Consider the following 15,734-nt stretch of genomic DNA (forward strand, 5'->3'; position numbering starts at 1 on the left):
TCTCTCTTTAAACTTAATTTAATGCCTAATTTAATCTCAATATGACTGCTAATAATTAAGAGACCTCATGTTGTGTAGCTTAATGTTTGGTTGTGTTGGTCATGTATACATGTCATGTGCGATATTGTTTCATACCATGCAATTTAATGAACAGCATCACTTGATATGTTTATTTCTGAAGAACAAGAAACCAAGCCACCATCTTTTGAGAGTCAAAACATAGGTTTTCATGGTAATGTTATGAACAGCAAGATTTTATATGTACAGAGGTCTACTTTTAGTATCTGTACAATACATGTACAACTGTACAAATCTCTAGATCATGTGTACCTTACATGTACAAATCTGAATATTATATGCATGAATCCGAAATGGTCATTTTGTAATTACAAGTTACTTACTTGGATTAATAATTTTTGTCAGTAGTTTTCAGCCCTCTTCCCCTTTTTATTGTTGGCTAAATCTTTCAGAGTAATTCTTCTTGGGAGCCCTATTTGCAAAACAGATCAGGATGGCTCTGCTATGAGCCAAGTGTTTGTGCGGCCAGAGATGGAGGTGCAGGGACTGCAGGTGGCCTTCTAGGTTCACTCTCAATGGCCTTTAAGCCCTTTCATGCAGCCCCTAGTATTTCTGGAGCACAAGGTGGAAACTGTTGGCCAATGTAATGTCCTACATGCGTAGAGGGCTTCCATATATATTACAGCATTTCATTCTTCACAACATTGTCCAGTGTCGCTCCATTTTACAGATGAGAAAACATGTGTCCATTTTCCCACAGCCATGTGGGATCAGTGATTAGATATAAGACTTAAACCCAGGCCTTCTGACGACTGTTTTTCCCTTTATTTCATAGTCTATGCCAATAGAAAATATGCTCAGAGAGTCTCCGAAGGAGCTTGAGTAGAGAGATAGGATTTTGGTAAAGCATGAGTGTTTCTTAATGTTGTCCTACTTTAGGAGACATGACTGATGGTATCACGTCATGTGGGTCATGTTCCTGTGCTTTGCCCAGATTACCAACTGCAGAGTGTTTTGAGATGTGTGTAAGCCCCGGCCTGCCAGCTGTAAACCTAACCCTTTCTCTCCCACTTGAGTAAGCGTATTGCAGTACAGAGTATGAAGGAGATGTTATTATCTTAATCTATTTTTGTTTATGAACAGTTTACAAATTTCAGGACTTTAATTATTAGTGGAAACAATTGCTTTTCATCATCCTAGTCGAGAGGCTTTCTGTATAAAGAAGTAGAATTGGTGATCAGCATCTTGTGAAATAATATTAGAATCAAAAATTACCTTGGCAGAAGAAGAGAAGACCCAACAGGAGCCAATGAAAAAAGGGAAGTTAAGAAAGAAAGACAGGCCAGGCATGGTGGCTCATGCCTGTAATCCCAGCACTTTGGGAGACCAAAGCGGGTGGATCACTTGAGGTCAAGAGTTTCAGACTCTTGGCAAAACGCTGTCTCTATTAAAAATGCCAAAAATTAGCAAGGCGTGGTGGTGCATGCCTGTAATCCCAGCTACTTGGGAGGCTGAGGCATGAGAATCGCTTGAACCTGGGAGGTGAAGGTTGCAGTAAGCCGAGATCTCGCCACTGTACTCAGGCTGGGCAACAGAATGAGGCCCTATCTCAAAAAACGGAAGGAAGGAAGGAAGGGAGGCAGGGAGGGAGGGATGGAAGAGAGAAAGAAGGAAAGAAGCAAGCAAGCAAGCAAGGAAGCAAGCAAGACTGCCTGAATATAAGATGAGAAGTGTTTGAAAGAAAGAAAAGAAGAAAGACTGCCTGGATATAAGATGAGAAGGGTTTGACATAACTGGAATTAACACAGCAACCAGAATCATAGCGTTTCACACCAGTTAGTGATTTAGCACTTAATTTTGCACGTGGCAAATACGTTCAATTGAGCATTCATTCAATGTTCACCAAATGAATTTTCCCAGTTCTACCCTCCTTTCCTTCTGAGTATTTAGAAGGATCCTGGAGTGGAGGAAAAAGGAGCCACAGCTTAAGACCTTTGAGAAGAAAGTAGAAAGGGAATGTTATGTCTGTGGAAAAGAAAACGGAGGTTTCAGTTGTACCATTTTGAGGAGAAAAATGACTAATGATGGGTTTGAAATCATCCTTTCTCAGTCTTTTAAAGGGTAAGACAAGGCATTTACATGAGATGCACAAGAGAATTTTCTGATGTTGAGAGTGGCAAACAAACTAAGATAAAAGAGCAAGTGAAGCTAAGAAGAGAAAATTCTCATGTGTCTAAACAATTGAAGTGTGTTCTCGAAGGTAAGGGTGTGGACCAATAATCCCCATTGGAACTCACAGAAGGTTTTGACTCCTATGACCATCACAATACAAGATAAGTTTTTTTTCCTTTTTCTTTTCTTCCAACTTTTATTTTAGGTTCAGGGGATACCCGTACAGGTTCGTTACATGGGTACGTTGCATGCTGCAGGGGCTTGGTGTGTAGCTTATTTCATCACCCAGGGAATCAGCATAGTACCTGAGAGGTAGTTTTTCCTTCCTCTCCCTCCTCCCACCCTCCACCCTGAAGTAGGCCCTGGTGTCTTTGTTCCCTCTTTGTGTCCATGTGTACTCAGTGTTTAGCTCCCACTTGTAAGTGAGAACATGTGGTACTTGATTTTCGGTTCGTGTGCTCATTAATTCACTTGGGATAATGGCCTCCAGCTCCATCCGTGTTGCTGCAAAGGACTTGATCTCGTTCTTTTTTTATGGTTGCATGGCAGAATACAAGAGAATATTTAGCAGAGGAATTGCGGACATGCAGCAGTAATAATGCCCCATGAAATGTTAATAAACATCGTGGGAAACTCGAGTGTGTGTTCAAATTATTTGGGGGAAGTAGTAGGTTCACGAAAGGTATACAGATGTCTTCAGGGCAGGACTTCTCAGAGCCCTGGATATTCTAATGTACCACGTAAAGCTCCCAGCACAAAGAACCAGAAGTATTTTACAAACCTAGTTAAATAAAGAACTTTCCCCACCTCTTCATACCTCACAGAACACTAGAGCTCTGGGGAACACATTTTGGGAAACGCTGATATATAGTACTGTTCTTAAGCAGGGGTGCATTTTAAGAAAGTTGGCAAATTCCTCCTAATTAACAAGAAAATGTAGTATGCCTGAGCCGATCATAGTAGTTTCACTGTAGTCCTTCCCTCCCCATCCCCAAATCACACAGAACAAGAGTTCTATGGTACACACTCAGTCCCACTGTTTTTGCTCACCCAGTGCTACCTAGGAATTCCCACCTCGCTCCGTCTGTTTGACTTCCTCACTTACAATGTCCTTCGCCAAGCACCTGTTAGACACAATCAGAGCACAGAGCTGCAGGCAGGGAAGGAAGAAACTGAAGGATCCTGTACTAGCTTGTTTTCATGCTGCTGATAAAGACATATCCGAGACTGGTCAATTTACAAAAGAAAGAGGTTTATTGGACTTACAGTTCCACATGGCTTGGGAGGCTTCACAATCAGGGTGGAAGGCAAAGAGAAGCAAGTCACATCTTATGTGGATGACAGCAGGCAAAGAGAGAGCCTGTGTAGGGAAACTCCCCTTTTTAAAACCATCAGATCTTGTGAGACTTATTCGCTATCACGAGAACAGTATGGGAAAGACCTACCCTCATGATTCAATTACCTCCTACTGGGTCCCTCCCACAACACATGGGAATTCAAGATGATATTTGGGTGGGGACACAGCCAAACCATATCAGATCCCATGTTTAAGAAGTTCCCAGTTCAGCATACAGCCTTGACCTGAAGCCTTCTCGATGTTTCCCTGCACTGACTCTTCTGAACCTGTATGTACTATGCCTACATCTCTCATAACTCTTTCAGTATTCTGTTTTTGTTCAATAGCTATTTTATTTATTTATTTGAGACACAGTCTCTCTCTGTGGCCCAGGCTGGAGTGCAGTGGCACGATCTGGGCTCACTGCAACATACCCCTCCCAGGCTCAAGCGATTCTCCAGCCTCAGCCTGCAGAGTGAGTAGCTGGGACTACAGGCATTCGCCATCACACCTGGCTAATGTTTGTTTTTTCAGTGGAGACAGGGTTTTGCCATGTTGCCCAGGCTGTTCTCGAACTCCTGGTCTCAAGTGATCCACAAGCTTCGGCCTCCCAAAGTGCTGGGATTACAGGCATGAGCCACCACACGTGGCCTCAATAGTTGTTTTTAAATTGACATTTATTGAATGCGTGCTCCATGCCAGGCACAGTGCTGACTACTATAGGGGCAAGGAAAGGAGTCTTGCCTTCAGAGCAGTTCGCATTGAGGGTGAAAAGTAATACATCACAAAGGTATTGTTGACTGTGAGCACAAGTCTAAAGTTCCTCTGATTTAGGAGGAAACGTAAAGGTTTTTCACTCATTTTAGACATACGGGTGTACAGACACACGCCCCGCAATGCTGTGGCTCTCTTTGTCTTGCCTCTCCAGCCTCCAGTCAGGCACAAGAAACGAAAGGCTCTTTCCTGATTAAGCTTCAAGTTCATATTCTTTTGTACATAGAAATGGGACCATGCCTAAGGTTTCCTGAACCTATTTTTAAATTAAGTGATTTGGAGAGGTAGGAAATTTAATAATAATATTGTCCAATATTACATTTTTTTTCTTTGTAATCTCTTGGGCTTACTCTTTAATTTCTTAATTGTTTTTCTTCTTCCATATTTATTTTTTCCATTTAAAGCCAAATAACACAAAATGAAATGAAAGTGGAAATATTTGAAAGAAAACAATTATTCAGTATTACCCCTTGAAATTTTGCCTTATGAAAATATTTTTAAAGCTATTACTCATGTTGAAGATTTAGCATTCATTAATATATGTATTTTGTGCAAAATCAGCAAACTCCACATTTGCTGTTTGGCTGTTATACACACAAATTAATGAATGTACTTAAATGAATTTGATTAATATGCAGCAGTTTAAGATCCACTTTGTATTATTAGCACAGAAATTTTCCTCATTGAATGCTGCTGAATCAGAATACTGTGTTTGCTTGGGAAGGCTGTCACACACACATGCACACACCACAAATAATGTAAAGCTAAGATTGTCATAATTATCATAATTGCCTCATTAAGATATTAGCAGACTGCCCCAACCACAAGAGATTCTCCATGCATGGAATTTTCCATCTTTGCCTGCATCCAAGTTATACATGCAGTGCCAGTGCCATAGAGTGTTAAATGGAAACCCCACTTCTGCATTTTATTACCAAATTTTGCAAACTACAAACAGCTTGAGTGTTGTATAAATTTATAGTTGTACTTGCATATTTGTGACGGTGGTTTTCAGCATGCAACTTTTATCTAAGAGCTTTTACTTGGAACTGCACAGAGCAATTCCAAAAGCTCAAAACTAAAGGAAAATAAAATTGAAGTGCCTTTACAATTGAGTGATTTATACATTTATACATTAAGTGCTTCTCCCGGTAGAAGCACTCAGATGGAAAATTTCATCTATTCCAAGCTGATTTTGTGCCTGAATGACTCTCACATATTTTCCTAAAACCTAGTCATGTCAAATGATTTATTCTACTTTAACAATTCTGTACAAGTAGCCAGGAAGATTCAAGTGTTGAAGTGTTAGAAGGTAGTTGGCCAATTAGATGGTTGACTATGTTTTGATTTTTCATGCTTACACATTCTTTTCTTACCTTCCCATCTCCAACTCAGGAGTACCTTGCTCTAGACAAGGATTTTTGCATATTTCTGTCCTAGAAGTATTTAGTCAAATTTGAGCAACAGAATGTATTTTAGATCAAAATTCCAGTAAAGATAAAGTGAGAAAATTCATTTCTCATAGTTTAAGAGGTAATAGAAGGAGCCCAGGTATGGCATATACAGAATGCACACATGCATTTTTTGTTTGTTTGTTTTTCTGAGATGAAGTCTCCCTCTGTCACCCTGGCTGGGGTGCACTGGCATGATCTCAGCTCACTGCAACCCCCACCTCCTGGGTTCAAGCGATTCTCCTGTCTCAGCCTCCCGAGCTGGGATTACAGGCATGAACCACCATGCCCAGCTAATTTTTTGTATTTTTAATAGAGACGGGGTTTCATCATGTTGGCCAGGCTGGTCTTGAACTCCTGGCCTCAAATCCGCCTGCTTTGGCCTTCCAAAGTGCTGGGATTACAGGCGTGAGCCACTGTGCCCGGGCTGCACACACGTTTTTTTGTGTGTTTGTTTGTTTTTGAGACGGAGTCTAGCTCTGTCGCCCAGGCTGGAGTGCAGTGGCGCAGGCACACATATTTTTAATGTCCCTTCCTGATATCATTACTTATCACCCCCATACCCTTGCCGCAGTCCAATGCCATCTGTGCCCCTGCCATGCTGCTTAGTAATGGGGATGCCCTGCATCTTATTAAAGGTGACTGACCCACCACTGAGCTATGGGCTTGCAACACAGAAATTCATTTTTTAATTAGATAATTGATGTTCTCCAGATTCTTCTCTTTCTTGCCATACAGTTTTTTTTTAACTTCAATTATTTTTGTCATTTACTCACCATCTTCTGTGGCAAATACATTCGTTTTTAAAAACTAATTTTATTTAATTAATTAATTTATTTGTTTTTGAGACGGAGTTTCGCTTTGTCACTCAGGCTGGAGTGCAGTGGTGCTATCTCAGCTCACTGCAACCTCCGCTTCCTGGGTTCAAGCGATTCTCCTGCCTCATGCTTGTAATTCTCTCTCTCCCGAGTAGCTGGAATTACAAGCATGCACCACCACACCTGGCTAATTTTTGTATTTTTAGTAGAGATGGGGTTTCGCCATGTTGGCCAGGCTGGTCTTGAACTCCTGACCTCAGGTGATCCACCCGCCTCGGCCTCTCAAAGTGCTGGGATTACAGGCATGAGCCACCACGCCTGGCCTGAAAAACTAAGTTTAAAGAAAACAAGCAGCATGTAACGTTCTTGAGATACAATTACAAGGCAGAAAAGTTAGTGGAAGTCTATTCCTTGGATGGGTTTATGTCATGATCAAGAAAAAAAGGATTAAGAATATGGTAAGGGTCTCAATTTATGATCTCAAGTACTATGTGAGAAACCTAAAAAGTAAATTCAAACTTTGAAATTTGGAATTTTCTTTGCTATAGGAAAAAGATTTTACTATAGGTAACAACAGTAATGGCTGGTGAATTTTTTCTAGGGGTAGACTCTCAACAATGTTGATGCCACTCAACAAATCCAAAGAACCATCATTATTTTTCTCTAAATAGCAGGACCAAAACCAAAGAAACATTCTAGACTAGGTACTTACCTTGACCCATCCACACTGTGGACTAATTCCTTAAGTGAAAGAATGTGAAGCTTCCTGTGGCTGCATCAGGCAATCCACAGAGAAAAAGAGTGATGGCCAGTTGAGCTCTGTCCAAAGAATCATGTAGCTCTGTGATGACAGAAAATTGACTAAGCATAAGTCTCAAGCTTATTCCCTTAGAATCCTCCATCTGGAATATACGAGTCTTCAAGAAAACATTCTTTCTTGCTACCCTGAAGCATGACATCCAGGGGATGGAAAGAAATAATTTGTCCATACCATTCATCGAATGCAGCTGTGGCCCCTATATCTTACCTAAAAACTATTTTTATTTTTCACAATTTTAAGATAGAGGCATAGCTTGTCTTATTGTGCATCATTTGATTGTGCTTTGCAGGTACTGCATTCTCTGCAGAATGAAGTTCTGTGGCAATGCTGTGTCAAGCAAGTCCATTTTTCCCAACAGCATGTGCTCACTTTGTGTCTCTGTGTCACGTTTTGATCATTCTCACACTATTTCAGACTTTTTCATTATCGTCATATCTGTTACTGTGATCTGGGGTGAGTGATCTTTGATGTTGCAATTGTCATTGTATTGTTTTGGGGTGCCACAAATCGCAGCTATACAAGATGGGAAACTTAATGGATAAATATTGTGTGTTTTCTGACTGCTCCACTCACTGGCCATTCCCCTGTATCTCTCCTTCTCCTTGGGCCTTCCTATTCCCTGGGACACAGCAATATTGAAATTAGGCCAATTAATAACCATAGAGTGGCCTCTAAGTATTCAAGGGAAAGGAAGAGTCACACATCTCTCACTTTAAATCAAAAGCTAGAAATGATTAAGCTTAGTCGGGAAATGCATCTCAAAAGCCAAGATAGGCTGAAAGCTGGGCCTCTTGTGCCAAACAGGTAGCCAAGTTGTGAATGCAAAGAAAAAGGTCTTAAAGGAATTTGAAAGCGCTACTCCAGTGAACATATAAATGATAAGAAAGTGAAACAGCCTTATTGCTGATATAGAGAAGGTGTTAGTGGTCTGGGTAGAAGATCAAACCAGCTACAACATTCCCTCAAGCCAAAGCCTAATCCAGAGCAAGGCCCTAGCTCTCTTCCGTTCTATGAAGGCTGAAAGAGGTGAGGAGGCTGCAGAAGAAAAGTTTCAACCTAACAGAGGTTGGCTCATGAGGTTTGAGAAAAGAAGTCATCTCCATAACATAAAAGTGCAAGGTGAAGCAGCAAATGCTGATGGAGAAGCTACAGCAAGTTATCCAGAAGATCTAGCTAAGACCGTTGATGAAGGCGGCTGTGCTAAACAATGGATTTTCAATGTAGATGAAACAGTCTTCTATCGGAAGAAGATGCCATCTAGGACTTTCATTGCCAGATAAGTCAATGCCTGGCTTCAAAGCTTCCAAAGACAGGCTGATTCTCTTGCTGGAGGTGAATGTTGTCAACTTTCAGTTGAGGCCAAGGCTCACTCACCATTCTGAAAATCCTAGGACTCATAAGAATTATGCTGAATCTACTCTGCCTGTGCTCTGTACATGGAACAACAAAGCCTGGATGACAGCACATCTGTTTACAGCATGGTTTACTGAATATTTTAAACCCACTATTGAGACCTACTTCTCAGAAAAAAGAGATTTGTTTCAAAATATTGTCACTCATTTACAATGCATCTGCTCACTCAGCAGCCCTGAAGGAGGTGTACAAGGAGATGAATGTTGTTTTCAAGCCTGCTAACACAATATTCATTCTGCAGCCCATGGATCAAAATGTAATTTTGACTTTCAACTCTTATTATTTAAAAAATATATTTTGTAAGGCTATAGCTTCCATAGATAATGATTCCTCTGATGGATCTGGACAAAGTAAATTGAATGCCTTCTGGACAAAACTCACCATTCTAGAAGCCATTAAGAAAATTCATGATTAATGGGAGGTCAGAATATCAACATTAACAGGAGTTTGGAAGAAGTGGATTCCAATCCCCATGGTTGACTTTGAGGGGTTTAAGACTTCAGTGGAGGAAGTAACTGCAAATGTCCTGGAAACAGCAAGAGAACTAGAATTAGAAATGGAGCCTGAAAGTGTGACTGAATTGCTGCAATCTCATGATACAACTTGAATAGATGAGGAGTTGCTTCTTATGGATGAGCAAATAAAGTGGTTTTTGAAAAGGAATTTATTCCTGATGAAGATGCTGTGAATATTTTTGAAATAACAACAAAGGATTTAGAACAAACGTAGTTGATAAGGCAGTGGCAGGGTCTGAGAGGATTCACTCCACTTTTGAAAGGAGTTCTACTGTAGGATCCAGGACTCAGCCTGGTAGTTCAGTGTCTAGTCCCATTGTGCTATCGGTGCCATCCCAGGGCCAGCCACTGGGCTAAGTGCTGCCATTGCTGTTCCCTCTGCTTCTTTCCACCACTGTCACATTCAGGTAACACTAATTAGGGCTTTTCCTGTCTCCTTTCACGTATTAGAAAGCTTGACCCAGCCCTCAGTTGTGTGAAGAAAGCCAAACTCTGGTCTCCAGCTGCACATAGGATGCCCCTGTCTAGGTCACTCTACAGGAATTAAATCTTCACCACCCCTGCCTGCTGTAGTGCCCCACTCTTTCTGCTTTGTAGCTCTTTTTCTGATCCCTAGGGATGTTTAGCTCATTTTTTAGCATAGCCATCCTTTTAAATTTATATATTTCACATGTAATTTAATTTGTAAAATACATATGAAATATTTATTGACTGCTGTAGCCATAAAAAGGAGTGAGATCATGTCCTTTGCAGGAACATAGATGAAGCTGGAAGCCATCATCCTCAGCAAACTAACACAGGAACAGAAAACCAAACACCGCGTGTTCTCACTCATAAGTGGGAGTTGAACAATGAGAACACATGGACACAGGGAGGGGAACATCACACACCGGGGCCTATTGGGGGTTGGGGAGCGAGGGGAGAGAACTTAGAGGTTCAATAGGTGCAGCAAACCACCATGGCACACGTATACCTACGTAACAAACCTTCACGTTCCGCACATGTATATTGGAATTTAAAGTAAAATGAAAATATTTAAATAAATGAAAGAAAAAAAAAGAAACATTGACTGCATATTTTGTCATTGCTGTGTTTGGAGCAGAGGGGAAAAATTTCAAGCACCACCTTGACCACAAGAACACCATATGTAGGATGTATGTTGAACATTTCATATTTCACAGAACAGTGTGTCCCAGGTTTTCACCAGTTTTTGTTGAAGAGATAATGTAGTGAGCGGTTAGATATTTCCATTACTATCAGCGATTTGCTTTCTGCATCCCCAGGGATGTCATTTTCTCCAACAAATAATACCCTTTTGGCAAAGTCTTGGCTGGTTGAAAATTATAAGAGAACGTTTCATTGTATTGCATCTTAACGTGGTTGTTCTAAAAATTCATCTCAGAATTTGCTATTTCAGGAAGCTTGCTCAGCGCCTCTGTTTTTTTCTGTAGTCCATCAATTCCATAAATTGGCTAGGCATTACTCAAAGATGATTGTTAAGGTCAGGAGTGGGGAGGAACAGAACACCAGGTGTTACATTTTAAAAGGTGGCATAAGCCCCTGGTTTAGTCATGTACTTCAAGAGTGTGGGAAATAGCTGTTCACAGTTAACACCAGAAGTGCTCATTAAACTGATTTTCTGTTGGGAATGATTCCTCCAAAATGTCTCAGGCTATCAAGTAGCTAAAATTCTATCAGGATTATGACACCCACCAAGTTACAACTTATAAGAAACAATATTGAAATGAAGGCTTTGCAGGCAAATTAAAATAGTAATAATTTCAGTTAATGTAATGATATCTTTTTAAAAAAATCCCTTAATATCGTTCAGCCAAAATTACATATTTGGAAAAAATGAGCTTCTAAAGAAGATTCCCTAATTGTATGTAATATGCCTGAAGGCATATTGCGGATGTAATTCAGATGCCTGGACACAGAGGAAGAGGGCTCTGATGAGAATATTGTGTCATATAACTACATTTTAGTCACAAACAGCCATAATGTACAACTATTTCCCAGAAAAAGGAAGCCGGGACCATGTGACAGCTTTCATGGTTAACTCTGGAATTCTGAGTATGGCCTGGAGATCCTATTTCCACATGTGCAGACTTTTCTGTAAGCCCCCAAACCTTTCTCATCAAACTTTGACATGTAACATCTCAGTATTTTGTAAGTGATGGCGCTTATTTTCCCGAACTTCAGTTGCATCTTGAGTTTCCTTTATTTAGTTTACGCCAATGTGGTCTTTTCTCAAATGGCTCATTATGGCTCCTGTCTCATCCACAGACTAACAAAGCCCTACATTCATTTCTTGTGGTAAAAGAATAACTTAGACGAAGCATGAATTGTTTTTACTATTTACAAGCAGTAATAACTTTTTAAATGTCATTTTAACAAATGTCACATTATTGAGCTACACCTTGTTGTATATCAGTCTGTCCATTAATGTTTTTTACATTTATCATACTCAAAAACCATAGGATCTTGCATAGAATTTCATAAAATGTGATCTTGACATATGACTAAATGTAAAAACTTGAGGACACTGTATTCTGGGTTGTGGTCTAACTCAGGTGAGTCCATTTGAAATGGAATTTTTTGTTTCATGCTCAGGCCAGATTCACAGCCCAGGTTGGTGAAGGCTCCTATAAAAGTAGCCTTCATGGTGGCTTTCACTTCCCTGGGCCATCCAACACATCGAACCGTTAGCTGCTAACAACCCATGTTCCCCTCCTTTCCCCAAGTCCTGTGCTTTCTTTTCTTGCCTTTACTGACATGGAGGTCAGAGGCCATCATCTCCAACATGTTGGTTTTATTTCTTCTGGGAAGAAAAACTCCATCTGGCCACACTGTGGTGACCCCGGCTTTCTCAATTGCCTCTGGCCTTATGATGCTGTCCTTGTTCTTCAACAAGGCTGATTTCCTTTCTGCCTTCCTGTGTTCCCTTTCTACTGGGCTCAATTCAGTCCACTGGGGAGGCAGACAATGGATTCCTCTGTTACTCCTGGTGGCTTCTGGGGTAGACATGGCCTCCAAATAGGCCTCCTGATGGGTGAGTATGAGCCCACCTTCCAGCCTCCCTACTCAGCCTGCAGTCTATTTATGCCTGTCTCCCAAACGCTTGGGGCTGCCCTCATGGACACTTTTCAGTTGCGTCTCCACCCCACAGAAGCACAGCTGTGGGTGTTGGCTGCCATTTGGCCAGGGTCAGCACTAGCTTACACTCAATACATTCAAGCAAGAGCCCAGAGATGAGAGAGCAAAAGGGAATACAACAGTGGCTTCTCTGGCCAAGGTAAAAATTCCCTCCAACTGTTTCCAGATACTTGAAAAGAGACTCGAGTGTTCAGGACAAGCTCAAGGCTCACGTGTTTCCAGAAGATGAGGAGGAAGGCCCATTCCTTACTTCAGGGCAGATGTTGTAAGAAGGTCTCCTGAGCAAGGTGCCTCCAAAACAGAAAAGGCCCTCAGCTGTTGTTTGTTTCCTAGAAGAGTCCACGAACTACAGGACAGTCCCAGCTACCGGGAAGAGGTACCCAACTCTTGCAGGCATGGCTAACGCCAGATGAGGTCTAAAGATCAAGCTGTGTTTTTTCAGATGACAATGGAAGACAGGCTAAAGAGAAGCATGAGGTGAAGCTGGGAATGGGCACATACTATCTTGTGTGACCTCTTGGCATTTCCTGATACCAGAGATTTATTTTTCTGCCTGCCAAACTGGCATTATTTATGAAAGAGAGATGCACAGTGTAATCTTTTTCCCTTCCCAGGAGAAAGAGTCTACGTTGGTATCTGTTTAACCTGTCTAACTTTTTGTTTGTCAACCTGTGCATGCATCTTTCCATTCACAATGGGGAAGGGAAAAAAGACACATTTATTTGGTGTCACAGAAAGTCCCTTGGACTAGGCCTCTGAAGTTCTAGGATTTTGGGTTGGCAGTCATGAGACAGTGCTCCTCAGTTCTCAAATGTTTTCCTTCTCAAAAAATTATTTCCTCCCAGCTTTGTGGGGAGGAGAAGATCAGAAAAGGGATGTGCAAGTTCTCAGAAAAGAAGTCTACAGGCTGGGCACGGTGGCTCACACCTGTAATCCCAGCACTTTGGGAGGCTGAGGTGGGCAGATCACGTGAGGTAAGGAGTTTGAGATTAGCCTGGCCAACATGGTGAAACCCCGTCTCTACTAAAAATACAAAAATTAGCTAGGCATAGTGGCATGCACCTGTAATCCCAGCTACTTGGGAGGCTGAGGCAGAAGAATCGCTTGAACCCGGGAGGCAGAGGTTGCAGTGAACCAAGATTGTGCCACTGCACTCCAGCCTGGGCTACAGAGTGAAACTCTGTCTCAAATCAAAGTCTACAGACATTTCAGAAATTTCTAGTGGGCTAGGAACCGGGGCTTAAAAATTAAGACACTGGCCATGCTGTCATGGACACCAACACTGTTAACCATTAAGAGGTCAAGCCACAGTCCCCAAAAATATAATATTATTATGACCATCTTATTTTAATGACTTTAATTCTATCTCTATGCTGCTGCAGGGTTGTTTATTTCCAGGCAATTGTCCACATGTTTCTTTCCCCTCTACCTCTGCCTAATTTCTTCTTACATCTTCCTCTTCCTGAGAAACAGTAGTGCTTGGGGAAAATAAGGGACTGTGAGTACTGGGTAGTACATCAGAGTTGATGAGCAAAGAGAGAATCCACCTTTGTCCTCAACAACCCTTTGTCTTTCTAAAATTCAAAGGTGAAGTCCTCAGGCTGTGATTTTCTGTTTCAAGAAAATGCTAGGACAGGGATGGAGCCAGCCTACCCAGTGTACACATCAAGAAGATAATGATATGAGCTCTTAGAGGATGATATAGTTTAGCTGTGTCCCCACCCAAATCTCATCTTGAATTTTAACTCCCACAATTCCCACGTGTTGTGGCAGGGACCTGGTGGGAGGTAATTAAATCATGGGGGCAGGTCTTTTCCATGCTATTCTTGTGATAGTGAAGAAGTCTTAGAAAATCTGATGGTTTTACAATGGGGAGTTTCCCTGCACAAGCTCTCTTTTCTCTTGTCTGCCGCTACGTGAGACGTGCCTTTTACCTTCCTCTTTGACTGAGAGGCCTCCCCAGCCATGTGGAACTATGACTCCATTAAGTGTCTTTCTTTTGTAAATTGCCCAGTCTCTGGTATGTCTTTATCAGCAGTGTGAGAACGAACTAATACAGAGGAACACTCTCTGTAAATAAAAGGCAGCTTTTTAGAAAATAAATTTCTGAGCATTTTAGAAAACAAGTTGGGAAAGTTCACTAAGATTTCTCTGCCTCTAACACATTGTATAATTTATTATTATTTATTTGGGTCCTCTTCACTGAATGGTGAGCAAAAACGGTTCTTTTTAATTCTTTTTGGCAATAATCCATACAGGAAAAAAAAAGTTCCTTTGCATTCTAACCTAGGTAGTCTCCCACAGTGTCTTCTAATGTGAAAGAAAATGAAGAATTATTATAGAAGTGCACCCAAAAATGTTAATGCAAAATTAGCAGAGCCGTTTTGTTTCTGCTAGTAGTGCAATATTTTCTCACAGTTATGTTTTTGAAACATGAATCTGTGATAGTTTAAGAGCTGAATACATAATTTAATACTGCCCAAGGCCAACATTAGTGAAAGCAGATGTTTGTGAAAGATGCGTGTCTTTATTAGAGGGCTGTGCTGCCCTAATTCGGTCCAATTCACTACGCCCCTCCCCGCCCCCGTCGCGGTGCTCAGGTCATCCCTCTCCTCTGCATGGATGGAGACTGAGAATGCCTCCCTTCAAGGCACACCAGGAGGGTGGCTCTGCAAGCTGTCCATTACACACATGACAATCAAACTGCCCAACATGGAGAGGGCGGTCTTCTTTGAGGGCTGTCTTATATATTCCACCGTTGACACGTCGTTGAATCCCTGAATCTCCTAATTGGAAGTCCCTCGGAAGTCTACGGATTATCCTTAATATTTAAATCCTCTGCACCATCCCAGCCAAATGGTTAAACTCCTTCTGTGATGGGAAATTTCTAGAGCCACACATTTACTCTGTGACCACATAATTCTCACAAGGAAGCAGCTTGAGGGTGGCGGCTGAGAGCACGATTGCAGCTTTTGAGTCATGGTGCTCTGGAGCCCCAGCTCTGTCCATCCCAGTGACATGACCTTAAGCTGGTTCATTTAACTTCTCTGCATCTGTTTTCTAACAACATTTACCTCACAGGCTTGTTTTGAGGATCCAGTGATATAATGGGTATAACCCTTTTTAACACAGTGTCTGGTATGTCTGAAGGGCTAAATCAGTGGAAGCCATTACTTTAATTTAATTTTTAGTCAATGTCCTCACTGGGATTTCTACCCTTTGATTCTGGTTCTGGGCCCCCGGAACCAGCTGGCTGCACAG

This window comes from Homo sapiens, chromosome 10 (assembly GCF_000001405.40).
Source record: "Homo sapiens chromosome 10, GRCh38.p14 Primary Assembly".
Lineage (NCBI taxonomy): Eukaryota > Metazoa > Chordata > Mammalia > Primates > Hominidae > Homo > Homo sapiens.